This window comes from Homo sapiens, chromosome 9 (genome assembly GCF_000001405.40).
Source record: "Homo sapiens chromosome 9, GRCh38.p14 Primary Assembly".
NCBI lineage: Eukaryota > Metazoa > Chordata > Mammalia > Primates > Hominidae > Homo > Homo sapiens.
The window spans coordinates 82688738-82705461 of record NC_000009.12 but is presented as its reverse complement, the minus strand read 5'-3'; the positions used below and the strand labels follow the sequence as shown (position 1 = coordinate 82705461).

Here is a 16724-nt window from a genome sequence, read left to right as displayed (position 1 = left end):
TATACAGCCATGTTTCAAGGGTGTCAGACCACGCAGGGACGCCTGCCTTGGTCCTTCACCCTTAGCGGCAAGTCCCACTTTCCTGGGGCAGGGGCAAGTACCCCTCAGCCCCTTCCCCTTCACCCTTAGCGGGAAGTCCCACTTTCCTGGGGCAGGGGCAAGTACCCCTCAACCCCTTCTCCTTCACCCTTAGCGGCAAGTCCCGCTTTTCTAGGGGGCAAGAACCCCCAAACCCCTTCCCTCCGTGTCTCTACGCTCTCTTCTCTGGGTTTGCTTCCTTCACTATGGGCAACCTTCCACCCTCCATTCCTCCTTCTTCTCCCTTAGCCTGTGGGCTCAAGAACTTAAAACCTCTTCAACTTACACCTGATCTAAAACCTAAACGCCTTATTTTCTTCTGCAACACCGCTTGGCCCCAGTACAAACTCGACAGTAGTTCCAAATAGCCAGAAAATGGCACTTTGAATTTTTCCATCCTACAAGATCTAAATAATTCTTGTCGTAAAAGGGGCAAATGGTCTGAGGTGCCTGACGTCCAGGCATTCTTTTACACATCAGTCCCTTCCTAGTCTCTGTGCCCAGTGCAACTCGTCCCAAATCTTCCTTCTTTCCCTCCCGCCTGTCCCCTTAGTCCCAACCCCAAGCGTCGCTGAGTCTTTCTAATCTTCCTTTTCTACAGACCCATCTGACCTCTCCCCTCCTCGCCAGGCCGAGCTAGGTCCCAATTCTTCCTCAGCCTCTGCTCCTCCACCCTGTAATCTTTTTATCGCCTCCCCTCCTCACACCTGGTCCGGCTTACAGTTTCGTTCTGTGACTAGCCCTCCCCAACCCGCCCAGCAATTTACTCTTAAAAAGGTGGCTGGAGCCAAAGGCATAGTCAAGTTTAATGCTCCTTTTTCTTTATCCCAAATCAGAAGACTTTAGGCTCTTTTTCATCAAATATAAAAACCCAGCCCAGTTCATGGCTCGTTCGGCAGCAACCCTGAGACGCTTTACAGCCCTAGACCCTAAAAGGTCAAAAGGCCGTCTTATTCTCAATATACATTTTATTACCCAATCTGCTCCCGACATTAAATAAAACTCCAAAAATTAAATTCCGGCCCTCAAACCCCACAACAGGATTTAATTAACCTCGCCTTCAAGGTGTACAATAATAGAAAAAAGTTGCAATTCCTTGCCTCCACTGTGAGACAAACCCCAGCTACATCTCCAGCACACAAGAACTTCCAAACGCCTGAACCGCAGCGGCCAGGCGTTCCTCCAGAACCTCCTCCCCTAGGAGCTTGCTACAAGTGCCAGAAATCTGACCACCAGGCCAAGGAATGCCTGCAGCCCAGGATTCCTCCTAAGCCATGTCCCATTTGTGCGGGACCCCACTGGAAATCGGACTGTTCAACTCACCTGGCAGCCACTCCCGGAGCCCCTGGAACTCTGGCCCAAGGCTCCTCTGACTGACTCCTTCTCGGCTTAGCGGCTGAAGACTGATGCTGCCCAATCGCCTCGGAAGCCCAGTAGACCATCACGGACGCCGAGCTTTGGGTAACTCTCACAGTGGAAGGTAAGTCCGTCCCCTTCTTAATCAATATGGAAGCTACGACTCCACATTACCTTCTTTTCAGGGGCCTGTTTCCCTTGCCTCCATAACTGTTGTGGGTATTGACGGCCAGGCTTCAAAACCCCTGAAAACTCCCCAACTCTGGTGCCAACTTGGAGAACACTCTTTTATGCACTCTTTTGTAGTTATCCCCACCTGCCCAGTTCCCTTATTAGGCCGAGATGTTTTAACCAAATTATCTGCTTCCCTGACTATTCCTGGACTACAGCTGCATCTCATTGCCACCCTTCTCCCCAGCCCAAAGCCTCCTTCGTGTCTTCCTCTCATATCTCCCCACCTTAACCCACAAGTATGGGACATCTCTACTCCTTCCCTGGCAACCGATCACATGCCCATTACCATCCCGTTAAAATCTAATCACCCTTACCCCGCTCAATGCCAATATCCCATCCCACAGCATGCTTTAAAAGGATTAAAGCCTGTTATCACTCGCCTGCTACAGCATGGGCTTCTAAAACCTATAAACTCTCCTTACCATTCCCCCATTTTACCTGTCCTAAAACCAGACAAGGCTTACAAGTTAGTTCAGAATCTGCGCCTTATCTACCAAATTGTTTTGCCTATCCACCCCGTGGTGCCAAACCCATATACTCTCCTATCTTCAGTACCTCCCTCTACTACCCATTATTCTGTTCTGGATCTCAAACATGCTTTCTTTACTATTCCTTTGCAACCTTGATCCCAGCCTCTCTTTGCCTTCACTTAGACTGACCCTGACACCCATTAGGCTCAGCAAATTACCTGGGCTGTACTGCCGCAAGGCTTCACAGACAGCCCCCATTACTTCAGTCAAGCCCAAATTTCATCCTCATCTGTTACCTATCTTGGCATAATTCTCATAAAAACACACGTGCTCTCCCTGCTGATCGTGTCCGATTAATCTCTCAAACCTCAATCCCTTACAAAACAACAACTCCTTTCCTTCCTAGGCATGGTTAGCATGGTCAGAATTCTTACACAACAGCCAGGACCACACCCTGTAGCCTTTCTGTCCAAACAATTTGACCTTACTGTTTTAGCCTAGCCCTCATGTCTGCGTGCAGCGGCTGCCGCTGCTTTAATACTTTTAGAGGCCCTAAAAATCACAAACTATGCTCAACTCACTCTCTACATTTCTTATAACTTCCGAAATCTATTTTCTCCCTTATACCTGATGCATACACTTTCTGCTCCCCGGCTCCTTCAGCTGTACTCACTCTTTGTTAAGTCCCACAATTACCATTGTTCCTGGCCTGGACTTCAATCTGGCCTCCCACATTATTCCTGATACCACACCTGACCCCCATGACTGTATCTCTCTGATCCATCTGACATTCACCCCATTTCCCCATATTTCCTTCTTTCCTGTTCCTCACCCTGATCACGCTTGATTTATTGATGGCAGGCCCACCAGGCCTAATCGCCACACACCAGCAAAGGCAGCCTATGCTATAGCACAAGCCACTAGCCCGCCTCTTAGAACCTCTCATTTCCTTTCCATCATGGAAATCTATCCTCAAGGAAATAACTTCTCAGTGTTCCATCTGCTATTCTACTACTCCTCAGGGATTATTCAGGCCCCCTCCCTTCCCTACACATCAAGCTCGCTCAATTCATCCAAAACCGTATCCAGGCCATCACCAATTATTCTATACTACAAATGTTTCTTCTAACATCCCCACAATATCACCCCTCACCACAAGACCTCCCTTCAGCTTAATCTGTCCCCCTCTAGGTTCCCGCTTGAAGCAGCCCTGAGAAACATCGCCCACTCTCTCTCCATACCACCCCCAAAAAATTTTCGCCACCCCAACACTTCAACACTATTTTGTTTTATTTGTCTTACTAATATAAGAAGGCAGGAATGTCAGGCCTCTGAGCCCAGGCCAGGCCTTCGCATCCCCTGTGACTTGCACGTATACATCCAGATGGCCTAAAGTAACTGAAGATCCGCAAAAGAAGTAAAAACAGCCTTAACTGATGACATTCCACCATTGTGATTTGTTCCTGCCCTACCCTAACTGATCAATGTACTTTGTAATCTCCCCCACCCTTAAGAAGTTTCTTTGTAATTCTCCCCATCCTTGAGAATGTACTTTGTGAGATCCACCCCTGCCCACCAGAGAACAACCCCCTTTGACTGTAATTTTCCATTACCTTCCCAAATCCTATAAAACGGCCCCACCCTTATCTCCCTATGCTGACTCTCTTTTCGGACTCAGCCCACCTGCACCCAGGTGAAATAAACAGCTTTATTGCTCACACAAAGCCTGTTTGGTGGTCTCTTCACACGGACACACATGAAATTAATATTTGTTCTTGTCTTGCCCATCTTGCCCTTGCTTTCACTCTTAACATTTTATAAATGAATAAATAAATGGGCTTTTTCATTAACACTATTTACTGGCCTTTCTATTTGTGTGAACTTATGTCCTGCCCATTTCAGACCAAGGCATCAGAGGGGAAGAATGTAAGTCAGCAAAAACACCCCAGTGAATTGTATTTAAGGGAAATCACACCCAGTCAAGTAAAGAGTCAGTGGATGGAGCACATTAAAAGCTTCAAAGAAATTCTCAGTTGTTCAGCAAATTATCCCTCTGGTGATTTTGTCTGTTTCAACTTTCAGCCCACTTTCTTGGGATTTCTCTTCATGGGGCTTGTGGGTTATCTCATTTGCTTCTTGGTCTCATTTCTTATTTTTGGTGCTCATATTTATTTTCCTGGAGTTCAACAACTCTAAGTATCTTCTTCAAAAAGGGTTCCAGAGCAGCAACATTTTAAGATGTTGTCTTTCTGAAAAGAACTTCATTTTGCCCTCACAATCAATTTAAAAATTGGCCAGGTTTAGAATTTTAGGTTCTAAATTATTTTTACCTCCAAAATTTGAGGCATAGAATCACTTTTTAGTGTATACTGATTCTGATTTTAAAAAAAATCTGATGGCAATCTGATTTACATTTCTGGAGATCCCATTCTTGAAGAATTCCTTTGCTTTCATATCTGCTGACTTCTTTATTCTGGCTCCTTTCACTCTTAGGGTTGCTACTATGAGTTTAGGGGGAAAAAGGAGACAAATGCTGACATTTTGAAATACCAGCTTCTCCTGATTTTCCTTAATTAAGTCGTGTCCTTTGGTTTACATAGTGTATAATAGTATATAAATGTCTACATTAAATAATAGATTATGTGACATTGGAGGGAAAATTAGGTGGCTTTGGATCAATCCAATTGGATGAATTTTAAGCTAGGTTGTCTTCAGAGAAAAACTGAAGCAAAAAGAAACTGACAAATGAAAGAAGAGTTAACCTTTGCATCAGCAAAGACACTAAGGAGAAGTAAGTTGAAGTGAAGCCAAGTCAAGCAGTAATCTTGTGGTGCTTCTGTTCTGATCAATATTTATGTCAGTCCCTGGCTGAACATTAATTGCACTGGTCCTTGAGGGAAAGATACATAGAAATGGGAAGAAGTGGATTTTGAATATAAGTTATTTTTTATTTTATAAATTGCTCCATCCAGATAATTTTCCTGATCTGAACTCCCACTGGATTGAATGCAAATGAGTTGTAGCAAAAATGAACTGGGAAACAAAAGTCCTGAGTTTACCCAAGTAGCAAATGTTCAGCAATAATTTGTGAATGAACTCTCTCTCAGGTGGTCCAGACCTAGTGTCTCTACATTAAAAAAAAAAATCTCCACTTTAAAATAAAAAGAGGGCATGATATTCCCCAATGTAACATTATATCCTATGTTCTAGGAATACTTTACTTCTATTTTCCAGTAAAAGGCCATTTACATTGATTAATTAAAAGGGAGATGTGTTCTTTTGGCAATGGAAACGCTGGATTGTCCCTTATTTAGTGCCTTATTAATAAGAAATACTGGGCATGAGATACACATTAACAGAACAACATTTCGGCACTAGGGCAAGTCTTCTGGCCTCCTGCCTATGAGTAGCGGGCCTTCCAGGTTCTAATTGGGTCCCCTTCTGATCCAGGAAGACTTCTGAGATTCTGATGGAGTCAGCAGCAATGCAAAGGCCTTCTTTCATAGTGAATCCATTAAAATATTGATAAAAGGATCTGAAAAGAAGAAAATGGAGCATTGAAACAACACGGGAGGTTTGGATGGGAAATGAACCCTCAACCGGAGAGTTGCATGGAAAAAAAACAAAGAGACAAAGGAAAAATGAAACATAAGAAACGATTTTGTAGCGTATAAGAAAAATAAAATCAACTACCAACTTCCATAGCTGCCAAAGTAGGAAGTTGCTTGAAGTGTCTTCTCAAAAAAATCAAAGTGCGATGGATGATCTTTCAACAAGAACTGGGCAGGCCAAAAGAAATACAAAAATCTGGGCAATAGCTGTAATAACTATACTAGAATACAGTTGGAAACAGTAAAAGTTAGAAGAACACAGCAGAAAAAGAGACTATTTATGAGCTCAGAGGCCAGTAGTAGCAGTGTGTTTTCAGAACTGGATCTTCTTCTCACCTCTGGGTCACCTTTATTGTTTATAGCACAAGAGACACGGTTTTTGTTTTATTTGCTCCAACGAGGGTCAAATGCAAAGTGCAGACATACATATTCAAAAGATTTGATTGCCACGCCTCGAAAGCAGTGCCATTTCTGTCTGCTTTTCTCCCCCAATATTTCTGTGAAAAGTGCAATATAACTACATTAAGTAATTTTTATCATTACGTTAAAAGAAACACCAGATTTCACAATTGACACTATTAAATATCACCCACATTATCACAGTATTACTTAGCAAAAAATAATTAAAATTGCTTAAATATTCTATGTAGGCCATTCATAAATCATGGTTTACCTTCACAATAAAGAATTGATTTTGTCACTTAAAATTATCTTTATGGAGAGCTTCTAACATGACTCCATTTTTAAAAATTATTCTTTCTGGATTTACTAATTGACAAATAAAAATTTTATGTGTTTATGACATACAGCATGATGTTTTGGCATATGTATACAAGGTGAAATGATTACCACAATCAAGCTAATTAACATATCCTTCACCTCACATAGTTATCATTTTCAGTTTTTTGTGATGAGAACTTTTAAGATCTACTCTCTTAGTAAATCTAAGTATGCAATACAGTATTATTAACTATAGTTTGCTTGCTATAATTAGATCTCCAGAACTTATTCATCCTACATATCTAAAACTTTGTAGCATTTGATCAACCTCTCCCCATTTCCCCAAGCCTGTAGCCCCTGGCAACCACCATAATGCGACTCTTAAATTATATGTTAAAAAACAGTATATTCAACTGCTCATAAATCGTGACCTCAGATACGATTTAACACATAGAAAAACATGTCAAATGTTATTGTATAATAGGTGGTTTTAAATTATTAAAAACTTCTCAAATTTTCTGTGGTGAGCTTCTAATATTTTTATGGTTAGAAAAACCTCTTAATTTCATCTATCACCCTAGGAGTCTAAGATAAATGAAACTGGCTTCATTTCGCATATTTCTTTTCACGAGAGTATGTAGTTTTTATTCATCAACTCTGCTTCATCAGATGTTCTTAGGTCTTAGAAAGCAGATAACTGAGTGGGTAAAAATCATTAATGCTAAATGGCAGCTTTGAGTTCATAATGTGTTGTTTAGTTTTATTTCATCCCAAGGACACAGAATTCATCCTGAATTCTGACCAAGTAGTCAGAAGGGGAAAAAGCAAAAATGTGGGTGGATCGACACAAATTTTTTCCTTTTCTGAGCAGTTTTATCCTTGTATATGGTAAGGAGTTTAATAAACACACACCTCAATGTTAGAATTGACACTATGCAGAACCACTGTAAGGAACTAATTTGAAGGTTTGCTTTCATTCTCCATATGAAATACAATAAATTTAAAGTTATCAGGGTGACATTTAGTACTGACACTGTTGGAGGGAGAATTTCATGAATCCTATGAAAGGACAAAATCGCTTATTTTTTATTTGGTGTAAGAGCAGAGTAAGTAAACAAAATCCTAAAAAATTTGGAGAAGAACTTTTTGTGATTTTTTTTTAATTTTTTTTTTCAAGAGACAGGGTCTCACTCTGTTGCCCAGGCTGGAGTACAGCAGTGCGATCGTAGTTCATTGCAGCCTCAACTTCAATACACAAGCAATACTCTCAACTCAACCTCCTGAGTAGATGGGACTACAGGTGTCAGCCACCAAGCCTGGCTAAATTTTAACATTTTTTTGTGGGGACAGAGGTCTTGCTATGTTGCCCAGGCTGGTCTCAAACTCCTGGCCTCAAGCAGAGCTCCCACCTCAGCTTCCTAAAGTGATAGGATTACAGACGTGAGCCACTGCTCCTGGCCTGAAAGTTATTTTTTGGAATATTGTTTTTGTTTTATAATCAACCACAAAACTCCGCTCTCCAGATGTTTGTGGGAGCCCTGGTATGATCAAAAGATATACCACCAATACTCTGCACACTGCAACCACAAGTAGAATTGTGCTTCTCAGGTCACAAAGTCATAGGAGTGATTTTTTTTTTTAGAACTTAAAGTATAATTTAAAAAAAAAGAAGTCAGAAAAAAAAAAGGTCATAGGAGTGAAAAACAGCATAAAAAATGGTAATTTGAAATCCAGCTCCCTAGCTCCCACTTAGGTAAAGACAGAGCATCTTATCTGCTTCTATTAATGTCCTTCAACTTGAGAAATCAATGGTGGGCACCATGATCATGTCACCTATCTCCCAAAATGATAATCCTAGATGCCAAGACTGTGGATTTTTGGTTGATATCATGAAAAAGAATTAAAAGTTCCAAATGCTCTTTGCTTTCCTTCCTAAACCACAGTGTTAGCCTCTTATTTGAACCATTGTGTAATAGAAAGATATAAAATGGGAATTATGATATGGACTTTACAGGATTGCTGTAGGATTTGGGAATAAAATATCTTGAGGTTGTTTGAAGACTTCTTGTACTTTTAGATTTACACAATGGCTATTTTTCAATTCCTTGTTGTATGTGAAAGTCAAAGGCTTCCTCAGGAATCTTGTGAATTCCATGGGGTGCTATGATATACATCAATTCTGTGTCTGGAATTCACTGTCTGTTGAATTCTAGTTATTTCTCATGTCTGGTGTCTGCCCTCTATACTGACTCCATTCTGACTTGCAGAATGTGAGCCCTTGTGCTCGCACAAGACATTTATATGTAGCAAACTCCATTAAACAGTTGAGAAGATGAGGGGGTTTTACATATCTGGGTAGCTTTGTAAACTCGAGCTTTATATGATCCCTTACGTCACCCTCTCACTTAAGTTATCTGAGCCCTCAAGCTTGATTCCTCTGGGAAAACACCTTAGCTTAGCTTATTCTGTTTCTCTCCATTAGACTAAAGGCCTATCAAAAATTTACCTAACAGGTTTGAAAGCCTTCAGAATGGCTGACTAGAGGCATCTGGTACTCACCTCCTCCACGACGATGAACCAAAATAATGAGTAGATAATCATACTTTTAATAGATCCCGTAAAAGAGAATGCTGGAATTCAATAGAAAAGTGACAGGAAATACACCTAGGGCAATGAAGGAGAAAGAAACAAGACAGCCTATTCAGCTGGGATCAGCTGGAATCCTGGAGAGTCTTCCCAGTGTGGGGAAAGGGTACGTGAGGGACTTCCAGTGGTCCATATTCCCAGTGAGGGCTCCTGTAATCCTACCATGGAAGAGCTCCTCAACCTATGTGGGCCCTGAGACTTGTATAGAGCTTCCTGGAGACTGCATGACAGCACTACTCCTGAGAGAGAATTTGCCCTAGGCTCTATACCCTCCCTGAATCCTAAGCAGCTGCAGCAAGGTGCCATTTTGAGAGCCCAGTCCCCACTAGACTGCATCCTGCCATGTGGTCCAACAGCTTATTCATTTCCACATTCCTGGTACCCCATTGACATCCCTACCTGCAGTCAGGTGCCACTGCTGGATGCTGCCACCAGGGTCGAAGTATGAACCGTTGGCAGTGGCCTCACTACCCCTAGTGGCAAGGCAACCATGCGTTTACAAGCACACTGAAAAAAGACAACTGTGATTGCAGCTGTCACTTGAGGCTAAAGGGTGGACTCCCCAGCTTCTTGTTTATAGCTGCTGCTACTGAAAGCAACTCCACCCTACCTAGCAGCAGGGCTATGTAGTTAGTGTAGCTGCTGACACCCCTACCTGAGCATTCTGCTAGGGGCTTGAGGCTCACCTTGCCTCTACCTACCACAGCCAATGCCCTCACGCACCACTGGGGGGGCCTGAGGACATGCCCACCTGGCCTGGCTTCACCCACCCCCAGGTGCCCAAGTACACCATCCAGGGACCTGGTAGTTGCCCTGTCCCATCCACCACCATTGGCATCTGAACACTCCTCTTGGGAAGCATGAGGTCAGGCCCACACAAGCTGTCACTACCACCACAGCTGGCATTCACCTACATGCACTGCCTGCAGGCCTGGGGTCTGGCCACCTACATGCACTGCCTGCAGGCCTGGGGTCTGGCCTGCTTAACTTGTCATAGTCACCATCAGTGCAAACCACTTGGGAGCCAGAAAATTGTCACACCAATGCTACTGCCATCATCCACATGGCATTCACTGCCCTGGGCCTGAGAATCTGCCCACCTAACTGGCCCATTGCTGCCACAGCCAGCACTGAAACAAGCTGCCTGGAGGCCCAAAAATTGACCTGCCTGGACTCATTAACACTAAGACCAGTGTATACCACCCTAAGGTCCAAAGACAGGAATGCTTGACTCACCACTGCCACCACTGGATATTGAGGACTGGCCCACCTGATGTCTTTGTCCCCACAAAACTTCACCACAGCCTCCACCACACTCTGAGCCACTGAGGATATCACAAAAACTATTGGTGCTGTTTATTGTCAAATAAATAATTCAGAAACACACCCAGAAGCAAAGCCAAAGTGTGCTACCCAATCCACACCATAGACACATCTTCAAGAAGAAGTTCTCTCCTATGAAAGCAAATTCTAAAAAGCTGTTACACCACATGGGCAGATACCAATGTAAAGGCATGGAAAACATAAAAAAAAAACAACAAGGAAATATGACACATCCAAAGGAACACAGTAATTCTCCAGCAGCAGACTCCAGTGAAAAGGAAATTTATGAAATCTTGGAAAAAGAATTCAAACTAATAATACTGAAGCTTAGTGAGATACAAGAGAATTCAGATAAACAATACAAAGAAATTATAAAAACAATTCAGAATAAGAATGAGAAATTTACCAAAGAGATAATAGATCTTATTTTAAAAGAGGAACCAAACAGAAATTTCAGAACTGAAGAGTTAATTGAATGAAATACAAAATCATTCAAAAGCTTCAGCAGTAAACTAGATCTAGCAGAAAATAGAATTTCAGAATCAAATATTAAAATTTTTGCTGATCCAGAAGGCAAAGAGAAAAATAAAACAAAGGAATAGAAAACCTATTTAACAAAATAATAAAAGAAAATATTAGAACTCTAATAAAGAATGTAGACTTCCAGATACAAGAGGCTCAGGGATCCCCAAATGATACAATTCCAAAAGGTCTTCTCTAAACTATCAAAAGTCAAAGACAAACAACACATTCTTCAAAAAGCAAGAGAAAAGTGCCTAGTTACTTATAAAGGAACTCTCATTAAACGAAAAGGATTTCTCAGCAGAAACCTTACAGGCCAGGGAGCATGAAATGACACATTCAAAGAGCTACAAGAAAAAACGTGCCAGGTAAGGATACCATACCTAGCAGAGTTATCCCTTATAAATAAAAGAGAAATAAAGTTTTTCCCAGACAAGTAAAAGCTGAGGGTATTAATCACTACTAGACCAACCATACAAGAAACACTAAGAGGGTTCCTACACCATAATCAAGTGGGGTTTATTTCAGGGATGCAAGGATAGTTCAACATATCCAAATCAATGAATGTGATATATCAGTTCAACAGAATAAAGGGGAAAGGCCATCTCAATATATGCAGAAAAAGCATTTGATAAAATTCAACACCTCTTCATGAGGAAAACACAACAAAATAGTCATAGAAGGAACATGCCTCAACATAATATAAGCCATATATGACAAACCCACAGCTAACTTCAGACTGAATGGAGTAGATCTAAAATAATTACCTCTAAGAGATGGAACAAGACAAGGATGTGCACTTTCACCATTCCTATTCAATATAGTAGTGGAAGTCCTAGCTAGAGCAATCAGGCAAGAGAAAGACATAAAAGGCATCCAATTTGGAAAAGAAGAAGTAAAATTGTTCCTCTTTGCAGATCACATGATTTTACCTCTAGAGAAACCTATACTCTGACAAAAAGCTCTTAGAACTAATAAATAAACTTAGTAAAGTTGCAGAATGCAAAATATAAAAATCAATAGTGTTTTCATACCCCAATAACAAACTAGTTGAGAAAGTAATTTTAAAAAAATCTCAATTATAATAGCTATCAAAATAAAAGACCTAGGAAAAATTCAATCAAGGGGGTGAAAGACCATTGAAAGGAAAGCTACAAAGCTAATAAAAGAAACTGGAGAGGATACAAACAAATGGAAAGACATGGCATACTTATCGATTAGAAGAATTAACATTGTTGAAATGACCCAAAAAAATCAAATAAAACATACCAAAACCTATGAGATGATTCAAAAGCAGTGCTAAGAGGGAATTGTATAGTAATTAACACCCACATCAAAAAAGTAGAAAGATTTCATAAAGATTATTTAGCACTTCTCACATTTTATAGATGAGGTCAGACGCTTTTAAACAGTAGCAAGTTAAACTTCATTCTTGAATTATTTACTCTCTAAGTCAGACTGAGATATAATTTAGGATTGTCTTTAAACAGCCATTCAGAAACAAAACTGTAGAAGTGCTGTGTATTTGCGACTGGGAATGGTGCTTTAGCCAACTTGAAAGGATTAACGTAGAAGAGATATACACAAATTTAAAAATTATGTGTGATCATGAGACAAGATAATTAAAAACAAAATCACAGATTATGAAAAAAGTAGAAAGATTTCAAATAAACAATATAATAATAGGCCTCAAAGAACTAGAAAAGCAAGAACAAACAAAACCCCAAATTAGTAGAAAAAAATAATGAAGGGTACAATAGAACTAAATAGAAACTAAAAAAAATTACAAAGGATAAAAGAAACAAAAAGTTATATTTTTGATGACAGACAAAATCAGTCTGTCATCAAAAATAATAGCCTAGAGGGCTATTATTAAAAAGACAAAAAATAACAGATGCTGGAGAGTATGCAGAGAAAAGGGAACTCTTATACACTGTTGATGGGAATGTTAACTAGCCACTGTGGAAAACAGTATGGAGATTTCTCAGAAACCTAAAAATAGAATTATCATATGACCCAGCAATCCCACTATGGGGCATTTATCCACAGGAAAATAAATTAGCATTTAAAAAGATACCCAAATCCCCATGTTCATTGCAGCACTATTCACAATAGCCAAGATACAGAATCAACCTAAGTGTTCACTGATGAACAAATGGATAAAGAAAATGTGGTATATATATATACAAAAGAGTACTATTCAGCCATTAAAAATAGAATGAAATCATGTCATTTTCAGCAACATGGATAGACCTAGTGGTCATTATATTAAATGAAATAAGCCAGGCACAGAAAGACAAATATCACATTTTCACTCATATATGGGAGCTAAGAAAGTTGATCTCATAGAGGTAAGAGAGTAGAATGGCAGATACCAGAGGCTGGGAAGGATGTGGGAATGAGGAGGATGAAATGAGGTTGGTTAATGGATACAAACATATAGCTAAATAGAAGGAATATTATCTAACATTTCATAGCAATGTAGGGTAACAATGTATTATATTTTCAAAATAGCTAGAAGAGGACTTGAAGTGTTTCCAACACATAGAAATGGTAAGTACTTGGCCAGGCATGGTGGCTCATGCTTAAAATCCCAGTGCTTTGTGTGGCCGAAGTGGGGGGATTGTTTGAGGCCAGGAGTTCAAGAACAGTCTGGGCAGCAGAGTGAGCCCTGTCTCTACAAATTTTTTTTTTTTTTTAAATAAGCAAGGTGCGTTGTGTACCTGTAGTCCTAGCTACTCAGGAGGCAAAGGCAGGAGGATCATTTGAGCCTAGGAGTCTGAGGTCACAGTGAGCTCTGATCACACTACTGCACTGCAGCCTGGGTGACCGAGTGAGACTGTGCCTCTAAAAAAACAAACAAATTTAAATAAATACATAAATACACACTCAGTGACATATACCTCAAATACTCCGACTTTATCATTGTATATTCTATGCATGTAACAAAATTTCAAATGTACTCCATAAATACGTACACATATTATGTATCAGTTAAGAAAAAGGCAAATATAAAAAATACTTACCTAACAATCCACTAATACTTCTAAACTAGTCTCACTTTTGTGGCCCTGGAAGAGACTGAAATGTCAACCTTCTCGTGTCCTTTCCTTTACCAGTGTCTCAAAGAGGAGAGCCACAATAGATAGATTAACCACCTCATGATATGAATGAAGCCACCCATCTGAGAAAGCACAGTGGTGAAGTCAGTATGCTTTTTAAATGATAGTCCATTGCTCTATTATACAATAAAGCTCATGGAAGCCCATGATGGGAAGTGCTCAGTAGTTGGCCCTTATGATGATTATTTATCTGAATCACACTTCGTAACCCCATTCTTCTGTGGTTGGTATTTAACATGCCTACCAAATTTATCTTTTTAAGTTTATACTTAAACAAAATCACCTCCAACTATAGGGGACTTTTCAATCTATTACAAACTATGGCCAATAAAAAATAGAAGTTGCAGCAGAATGAACTCCTTTGTATTCCAATCCCCACATTTTATAAATTAAGAAACCTGAAGATCAGAATACTTCCAATGTGCCCAAATACACAATAAGTTGGTGGAAGTTTGAATGAGAGACTAGGACTCTTAGCCCATTCTCTTTGGATCTGTCAACATATAACTAATAAGACACAGAGAGTATTTTGGATCGAGATCCATAAGTTTCACGATTTCTTTTTTTAAATAAGATTATGATGTGCCAAAGCGTATCTTGTTAATCTACCTGCCATTGAAAAATAAATCAGGTTATTATGATTTGGTAAAATCCTTGAAAATCTCCCATTCTTCCAGGATCATGTTGCTTTTGCACATAAAGATAAGCTTTAGAATTTGACACTGCAAGATTCTAGTCAACTTCATTTATTTATTAGAGGAGGGGCTGGTGAGGGAAATAACAACATTAGAAAAATTCATCTATGTAGAAGACAAGGTAGCTTGTGTAAAATAGTGTGATATGAGGACAGGCCAGCAGGGTTTGTGACTTCAGCAGGCTGCAGGCCTTAAGAAAAACTCTGTCTAAAGTGTGAGTTATAACATCTTTCTTCATTGTAAGCAAGCATTAGTGTGTTGAAAGTTCTCTACCTGAAATTTTTCCATGCCGTATTGTGTGTGTGCACACATACTCATAGCCATGTGTTAGGAAGTCTCTGAGGCTGACTCTCTTTCTTTTTTCTTTGGTTGTTTTCTGCCAAATTGTGTTCCCAAATCTGGTTGCCTGGCCACGCAGCTCGATCAGTTTATCTCCCATTCCTTGACTCTTGCAAGTAGAGGCTCATGGGAGCCAATTATTACTGTTTCTTCCTCCCTGATAGAGTTGTTAGACCTATGAACTATGGGCAGCCTCCACAGAATTCTTGGGTAATATTTGAATTCAGAGACTGGAATTCAGCTTCCTATCCAGGCATAAGGTAAAAGGACATTACCAGAAGAGAAAGGCTTGAACTGCCTGTTAAAATGTCAGGACCCCTAGTATTTGTGGAGTAAGATATTGCATTCCAGATTTCTGCCCTAGCATTTTTCACTAAACCAATCATTTACCTTGCTCATTTACTCTAGGGCTAATCCCCTTGTAAATATTTTGGATGACTCATTCATTTTTTAAAACTTTGAGACTAAGGATGCTACATTCTTTTTGCTTTTAATATAACATGAAAACATGAACATACTACTGAATTGTAGCTTATTAGTTTCTGCATGAAAGAACAGTGGGTATTCTTTCAATTAAAAATTCAGTTATAATCTCTGAGGCCTCTTCTCTATCTAGGGATGACTTGGAGTACATTTATTAGATGGGAATTCTTATGTTATTAGACCATACTTGTCGTAAGATTGAGACTTACGGAAATGAGGAGCTGACCATATTTAAAGAAGCATTACACTAAAAACATGGAATTCCCCTATGTAAAACAATGCCTGGGATATAGATTTGCTCTATTCCTTTTAGTCAAGTCTCCCTCAGTTTACATTGGCTAGCTGGTTATACCTTTGTATAAGGTCTTGGAACTTGAATTAACTTCTAGGGTTTGCAAGTGGGAATTTAATGATACCCGGTAAAACAATGACAAAATGGTCCAATCAAGATCTTCCTGAGAATTTTCTTGACGATTTTAATGGTTTTCCAGTAAGAAAGGCCCTGCCAGTTAGTCACCTAATTAAGCAAAATTATTTGTCTGATAAATGCAACTCTCTAATGATGACCAGTTACCCATCAAAGCCAGTTGGGATTTTATGAGTAATGGTTATTAAAACTGCTATAAACTATTTCACACTAGGATTTCCTGTTCCCCCCCCCCCTTTTTTTTTTTTTGAGACAGAGTTTCACTCTTGTTGCGCAGGCTGGAGTGCAATGGTGCGATCTCGACTCACTGCAACCTCTGCCTCCCGGGTTCAAGTGATTGTCCTGCCTCAGCCTCCCGTGTAGCTAGGACTACAGGCATGCACCACCATGCCCAGCTAATTTTGTCTTTTTAGTAGAGATGGGGTTTCTCCATGTTGGTCAGGCTGGTCTTGAACTCCCGACCTCAGGTGATCCACCTGCCTCGGCCTCCCAAAGTGCTGGGTTTACAGGCGTAAGCAACTGCCCCCGGCCACCTGTTCCTTAAGATAACTAGGATACATTTTAAAATATAAGGAGCAAATAGAAAAATGATTTTTAAAAAATATAGGCCTGCATGATATAGGAGATAAAAACCGCAAAACTCAAAACCTGGTGAGTGGTGTGTGGGGTGTGGTTCTTTGGATACGACACAAAGTAAC

The 16724-nt window shown here is 40.2% G+C and overlaps 1 long non-coding RNA gene across 1 annotated transcript in view, besides 1 other annotated feature; it reads right to left on the bottom strand.

Annotated features, from left to right (window-relative positions):
- Nucleotides 1-16724, bottom strand: part of LOC107987087 (uncharacterized) — a 288244-nt gene that overhangs the window by 74734 nt on the left and 196786 nt on the right. The window lies entirely within an intron of this gene.
- Nucleotides 9503-9708: a silencer, noted in NCBI's record as "fragment chr9:85310669-85310874 (GRCh37/hg19 assembly coordinates)". NCBI's record gives its function as "represses an EF-1alpha promoter that drives an FKBP-Casp9 reporter gene in an ReSE screen in HepG2 liver carcinoma cells {active_cell/tissue: HepG2}" and the evidence as "EXISTENCE:reporter gene assay evidence [ECO:0000049][PMID:32094911]".